This window comes from Homo sapiens, chromosome 13, assembly GCF_000001405.40.
Source record: "Homo sapiens chromosome 13, GRCh38.p14 Primary Assembly".
Classification (NCBI taxonomy): domain Eukaryota; kingdom Metazoa; phylum Chordata; class Mammalia; order Primates; family Hominidae; genus Homo; species Homo sapiens.
Window position 1 is genome coordinate 101,414,743 of NC_000013.11, and position 6,852 is coordinate 101,421,594.

At 46.0% G+C, this 6,852-nt stretch overlaps 1 protein-coding gene across 8 annotated transcripts in view, besides 2 other annotated features; it reads right to left on the bottom strand.

Moving 5' to 3' along the window:
- NALCN (sodium leak channel, non-selective) overlaps positions 1-2,437 on the bottom strand; it is a 363,404-nt gene extending 360,967 nt beyond the window's left edge. For 3 of the 8 annotated variants that reach the window (XM_011521069.3, XM_011521067.3, XM_024449336.2), the window contains exon 1: positions 2,375-2,437. In XM_011521069.3, coding sequence (XP_011519371.1) covers positions 2,375-2,392 — 18 coding nt within the window. In that variant the 5' untranslated portion in view covers positions 2,393-2,437. Of the gene's footprint in view, positions 1-1,570; positions 1,767-2,374 lie in introns of those variants that run through there. The other 5 variants (NM_001350750.2, NM_052867.4, NM_001350748.2 and 2 more) reach the window with 2 other exon arrangements.
- Positions 567-1,117: an enhancer, noted in NCBI's record as "H3K27ac-H3K4me1 hESC enhancer chr13:102067660-102068210 (GRCh37/hg19 assembly coordinates)". NCBI's record gives its function as "activates a minimal SCP1, AML or CMV promoter by ChIP-STARR-seq in naive H9 embryonic stem cells {active_cell/tissue: H9 hESC(naive)}" and the evidence as "EXISTENCE:reporter gene assay evidence [ECO:0000049][PMID:30033119]".
- Positions 1,118-1,668: an enhancer, noted in NCBI's record as "H3K27ac-H3K4me1 hESC enhancer chr13:102068211-102068761 (GRCh37/hg19 assembly coordinates)". NCBI's record gives its function as "activates a minimal SCP1, AML or CMV promoter by ChIP-STARR-seq in naive H9 embryonic stem cells {active_cell/tissue: H9 hESC(naive)}" and the evidence as "EXISTENCE:reporter gene assay evidence [ECO:0000049][PMID:30033119]".

The following is a 6,852-nucleotide window of genomic DNA, read 5'->3' on the forward strand; positions in this document are numbered from 1 at the left end:
ACCACTATTTTATAAGACATGCTTTCTCCTAGAGTTCTGTAGAGATTTTAGCATAGTCCTTATCAGTGACGGCACATTTATTCTGCAAACAGATTATGTCTTCTATGAACACAGAAGAGGATCCAACTGAACCTTTTCACTTTTTAAGTTTTTCTCCAAAGCTGGATTTTGTCTTCACACTGTCTGGTTTTAGCAGTGGCTAGGTCAAAGTATACTACAGAAGAACGAAAAATCGACTCTAGAAAAGCACGCAGAATGACAGCCAACCAGTTAGGGAGTAAATGTTTCTCGTTGCAGATGTTTGGGAAGCCATGATTTTTATTTAGAACTGTGGAAACCTTATCTTTGAATTTAAAAAGCCAGTCCTGAGATGCATCTGCCTCAGGGGTAACTACCATAGTGAAACCGCTCCTCTCCCAGGCCATATCAAATCACAGTTGTAGTTATGAACATACAAATCACACACATATATATATATATATACATACATATATATTTCAAAATCGCCACCTGTTAATTTTTGATCCCCTATTAGAGGTGTTATCCACCAACTACTAACACGAAGGTCACTGGTCCTCAACCCACATTTCACCACCAGGGCAGTCGGGCCTAGCTGATGACCACACGAACACCAGATTAAGAGTAAAACCTTCTGAGGCCTGAAAGTGAGCGTGTATTCACACATCCTTAATAATACAGTGTCTGAAAAATTGTACCTGAAACTGAAAGATTTATTCTAAGGTATTTCAAGCACTAAGGGTCTGAGTTCAGCATTCTCACACCATCCTGAAAGAGGAACATTAAGTCAGCAAAATGACTGCGATCTGGGCCCCCAGAGGGATCCCAGCCAGGCCATCCTTGCTGGTGTCTTAAAGATTCAGTGACAAAATGGTGTTGCTTGGCAGGACACTGTTTTGCGTTCGGTGTAGCCACCCTAATGACGGCTGCTTAACAAGGCCAATGAATATCATAAGGGACATTTAGCAAGGAGCAATCCACAGGAGCATGGGGGTGGGGCAAGGCCGCGGAGCCCCCGCGGAGACCTGCTGGAGCCAGGCTGCCCACCCCCACCTCCCCACCCGCGCGTTGGCCCAGAGGTTTACCCAGGCAGCGGCCCTGGTGCCGAGGGGGCAGGTGCAGCGCTGTAGTGATGCCCAGTGGCCTCGTCCTCAGCCACCTGCCCCCCAACACCTGCTAGATGCCCAGGCGGGGCAGGCCCGAGGTGTCGCCGGCCCTGGGCTTCCCAAGCCAGCCCAGGGGCATCCCGCGGCAGGCGCCCCCGACACCCACGCGCAGGAATAGGGAGGGCGCATCGCGGCTCCCGCGCCCCGGCCAGGCCGGCAAGGACCCCACCGCCCCGCTCTCGGGTGGAGGCGCCCCTCCCCACCCCTCCCCCGCGCGGGGCCCCCGCCCGCAGCCCCTCTAGCAGCCCCTCTCGCAGCCCCAGCGCCCCTGAGCCGTCCTGGCCCGGACCGGCCAAGGAACTAACGAGCGCGCATCGCGGGCCTCGGGCGCAGGGCACGGAGCCGGCCGCGCCGCAGCCTCCCGGGCACCGGCGGCGGTGACCAACCTGTAACCCCAGCGCTCAGAGCTGTCATGGTGCCCGCGGGCGGCGGCGGCGGCGACAGTGGGCGACCGGCAGGATCAGTGCCAGGCGCGGCGCCCAGGGCGGGCGGGGACGCGGGCCCCTCACCTACGGCGGCTCAGCTCAGGCAGCGCGCTCGGCCCGGCTGGGGCCGCGGCTCACGCTCGCCGTGTCACTCACTGAGCGCCGCCGCCGCCGGGCAGGCTGGGGGAGGGGTGGGAGCCGGAGTTTTCGGGCCTTTAAAAAATTATTATTTTATTTAAATTTTTAAAGTTAGCTTTGCTACAGGGACTGCAGTGATGCCGAAGGGCGGGCACCGCAGAGGAGGCTGCGCCGCAGTTGGTGGGGAGCGCCAGGGTCGGTACTGGCAGTTCCTTCTTGCCGGCTGCCACCCGCAGTCAGTCTCACAGCAACAGCTAGGCTCTCATCTGCGAGCTCCTCTCGGGGGTCTTTCGTACTCAACAGCACGGCGGCGGTGTGCACGGGAGTCCGCCGGGCACACGCGGGGTACACTTAAGTGCACTGCCAGGAGGCCGGGAGCCCAGCGTGCGAGCGTGAGGTCAGACTGTGCACGGTACCGAGGACTAGTTCCATTCCTGAGTATGAAAGGGTGAAACCGTTCACCTCAAGTTTCACCCCGGAGTTATTAAATAATGAATGCATCAGTCACACTTATAGTTTTCTAAATAGGTTGACGTTCGCCTTTAAAATTAAAATATGTTGTCGTGTGGATGAGACAAAGTCTATTCAGAAATTGACAGTCCCCCACCCCATACCCTGTGAGTATACCTGGACAGCAGACTGCATCTGAGGCTTCCTAGGGCTCCCAGCAGAGCAGGTTTAGGGAAATCTGGCCTCCTAAGCACCATGCCCAGGGCGACATCCTCCCACTCATTCCCACTCTCTGAAAGGTTTACTTTGGGTCTGGAATCTTGCCATGTAGTCAGATACGAAAATCCCCAGGGAACTCCTGACCAGTGATTTAGACATCATGCACACAGGCATATAAATAAAGGGAAAGAAACAACTGAATGAAGCTTTCTCTACAAGAGAAATTCTAAACAAAGAGCATTTGTCTATCACAAAATGTTATGTGGCAAGGTATAGAAGTAAAACTACACAAACCTACATTTTAAAAATGTATTTTCTGGTTACAGATATTTAATTAATCTACTTTCTTAAAAAGTCCATTCACAATTTGTTCACATTCATAATCCATATTAGTACGTTTTATTGTTTACAGGGAAATGTTAAAATATTGGTATTTCATGAAATACAGAGTCATGCGAGATAATTTTTCAAATTTCTAAAGACTTCAGAAAAACTGTGTCAAAAGCCAGGTTTTAAACAAATGATGAAATCACTCCTCATAAGAAAAAATTGACAGTAATTTAAACAATGCTAAATCTACAACCAGTTTGCTTAGAAAAAGTATTTACCAACTTGTTTCATCATCTTTATTTGCGGCTTTCAATTGCTTGTTCTAAATACTAGTTTATTTCACAAACTGAAATATATAGCTATATATATATGGTAGCTGAATGATAGTGTGTTATTCCTTGACATTCGTTCGAATTATCTGTTAGTAAATTATATTAAGGAAATATTTAAACATTTATTTATAATGTTTTGAAGTGGTCAAGGCAGTGATTTTTTACTAATCTCAGTGCCACTCCTCACCCAACAGGCATTTCAGACCTTTCTCTGTCCTTGGTTGAACTACCTCTGTTAAGTCTCTATAATTCATGCTCATGAGCCAAACAATCCCAATGATGATGGAGACAGTCTCAGAGAATTCATGGGCTTCAAGGAAGTCATGGAATCCAGCACACTCATCCTATAATGCATAGGGATTCACTGTGTATTGGAGTAGACAATCATTTTAAAAAACAGGTACATCCAAAATATCATAGTACCCCTTCTACCTGCTCAGTATCTCTCTTCTTTTGTTTTCTTTGTTATTTTTAGAGACAAGGCCTATCTCCGTTGCCTAGCCTGGAGTGCATTGATGTGATTATAGCTCACTGCATCCTCAAAGCAAAAGTAGAAAGGATGAACAAATATCTTTTCCAGGTTGAATTGGCCCTGTAACTACATTCATTGCTGGAATCCAGTAAAAGTCAATTGCTGGCCTGTGGGTTCAATATAAACTGAGAATATAATTCAGGTGTGTTTTGTATGACTCAATGTATATTGTTGACAAATTAAGATCAATTACCAACATTTGAAAACCACAAGAATTTTATTTTATCAGGAAAAATAGGAAGATATGGATAACAGGCAGCCTCCACCATGCCCAGCTAATTTTTGTATTTTTAGTAGAGACGGGGTTTTGCCATGTTGGCCAGGCTGGACTCGAACTCCTGACCTCAGGTGATCCACCCACCTTGGCCTCCCAAAGTGCTGGGATTACAGGCGTAAGCCACCATACCTGTAGGAGTCTGAGGCATGACAATCACTTGAACTGGGGAGGCAGAGGTTGTGGTGAGCTGAGATTGTGCCACTGCACTCCAGCTTGGTTGGGTGATAGAGTGAGACTCCGTCTTGAAAAAAAAAAAAGGAAGGAAGATCTGGCCAGGTCAGTTCTGCATTCCCAAGTGGTAGGGGGCCAATAGGGGCATCCTGTGCCTCCCATAGGTGGGCATATACTTCCCATTTGCCTCCATGTCCCCAGCCTGCTTCAATTCCTGGCCCTGGAAGGTGTTTGCATGTAGGAGCCTATACAATTAAATCTGTATTTGACGGTATGAGATTGGGGAAAGGATAATGTCAAACACAGAGAAAGCAGTCAATACAGAAAGTTTTACAATAAAGAGGATGAAGCCAAGCCAATGCACAACCAAGATAGTAGTAGCCTTTGGTTTAAATGAAATTGTGTTCATGGTCCTGCAAGTGCTTTGGAATGGATGTGATATCATTTGTCTGTGTCCCCATCCAAATCTCATCTTGAATTGTAGCTCCCACAATTCCCATGTGTTGTAGGAGGGACCTGGTGGGAGATAATTGAATCATGGGGGCAGTTTCCCCCATACTGTTCTTGTGGTAGTGAATAAGTCTCATGGGATCTGATGGTTTTATAAGGCCCTTTCTCTTGGTCTTCATTTTCTCTCGTCTGCTGCCGTGTAAGACGTGCCTTTCGCCTTCCACCATGACTGTGAGGCCTCCCCAGCCATGGGGAACCGTGAGTCCGTTAAATCTCTTTTTCTTTGTAAATCACCCAGTCTCCAGTATGTCTTTATCAGCAGGATGAGAACAGACTAATAATACAGGAAGTAGCTATGAAATGCAAGACAGCAAGAATTTGATGAAAACAGGGTATTTGTTTTTCACTAACTCATTTGTTCCTACTGCTTATTTCCACCTTAATTAGTATTTCACTGGACACCATGGTGAGTTACTGGGAAAACAATAGGCATGCTAAAAGAGAAATTTGAAAATCCATGGAGGGACTGTCCTGTGCTCTATGGAAATATAGACACTGAATCAATTGGAGAAGAATTCTGCTCGAATATAATTATGTTTCATTTGATTTATGAGTAGATTATGCTTTAGTAACTACACAAGACTGTAATATTTTTGAGACTCTCATTAAGATTAGGTTTTTTTTTTTTTGAGATGGAGTCTCGCTCTGTCACCCAGGCTGGAGTGCAGTGGCGCAGTCTCGGCTCACTGCAAGCTCTGCCTCCCGGGTTCACGCCATTCTCCTGCCTCAGCCTCTCCGAGTAGCTGGGACTACAGGCGCCCGCCACCACGCCCGGCTAATTTTTTTTTATTTTTAGTAGAGACAGGGTTTCACCGTGGTCTCGATCTCCTGACCTCATGATCCACCCGCCTCGGCCTCCCAAAGTGCTGGGATTACAAGCGTGAGCCACCGCGCCCGGCCTAAGATTAGTTTTAATCCGTATACACTTGTTTATGTTCTGTGATTTCAAGACCCACATGTCACCAAATATTGCTATGATGAACTTTTAGATGCTCTTTGGGCAGGGAAAATTAAGGTTTAGAATACACACCTAAAAATGTAAACAGGCTAACTAATAGGCATCTCCTGCTTGTTGCCTCACTAACATGGATTTACATGTACAGGCGTTCCTGGAAGACAGTGCAATTTGGTTTCAGACCAATGCAATAAAGTACATATCACAATGAGGCAAGTCACACAATTTTTTTTTATATTCCAATGCATATATAAGTTATGTATACACTGTACTGTATACTAAAATATATATATATCTTAACTTAAAAATACTTTATTGCCAAACAATGCAAATGATCATCTGAGCCTTCTGTGAGTCTGTGAGTCATAACCTTTTTTTTTTTTTTTTTTTTGAGTATCACTCTTGTCACCCAGGCTGGAGTGCAATGGTGCAATCTTGGCTCACTGCAACCTCTGCCTCCTGGGTTCAAGTGATTCTCCTACCTCAGCCTCCTTAGTAGCTAGGACTACAGGCGTGCATCACCACGCCCAGATAATTTTTGTATTTTTAGTAGAGACGGGGTGCGATCATGTTGGCCAGGCTGGTCTTGAACTCCTGACCTCAAATGATCCGCCCGCCTTGGACTCCCAAAGTGCTGGGATTACAGGCGTAAGCCACTGTGCCCAGCCCCTCATAACCTATTTGTTGGAGGAGGGTCTTGCCTCATTGTTGATGACTGCTGGTTGATCAGGCTGGTGCTTACTGAAGGCTGGAGTGGCTGTGGCAATTTCTTAAAAATAGACAAGCATGAAGTTTGCCACATTGGTTGACTCTTCCTTTCATGAGAGATTTTTCTGTAACATGCCATGCCATTCAATGGCTTTTTACCCACAATAGAACATTTATCAAAATTGCAGTCACTCCTCTCAAACTCTGCTACAGCTTTATCAATTAAGTTTATGTAATATTCTAAACCCTTTGTTGTCACTTCAACAATGTTCACAGAATCTTTACGAGGAGAAGATTCCATCTCAAGAAACCACTTTCTTTGCTCATCCATAAGAAGCAACTCATCCATTTAAGTTTTATCATGAGATTGTAGCAATTCGGTCACATCTTCAGGCTCTATTTCTAATTCTAGTTCTCTCACTATTTCCACTAAATCTGCAGTTACTTCCTCCACTGAAGTTTTGAACCCCTCAAAGTCATCCACGGGGGTTGGAATCAAGTTTATCCAAGCCCCTGTTAAAGCTGATATTTTTATATTCTTCCATGAATCAGGAATGTACTTAACAGCATCTGGAATGGTGAATCCTTTCCAGAGGGTTTTCAATTTACTTAGTCCAGATC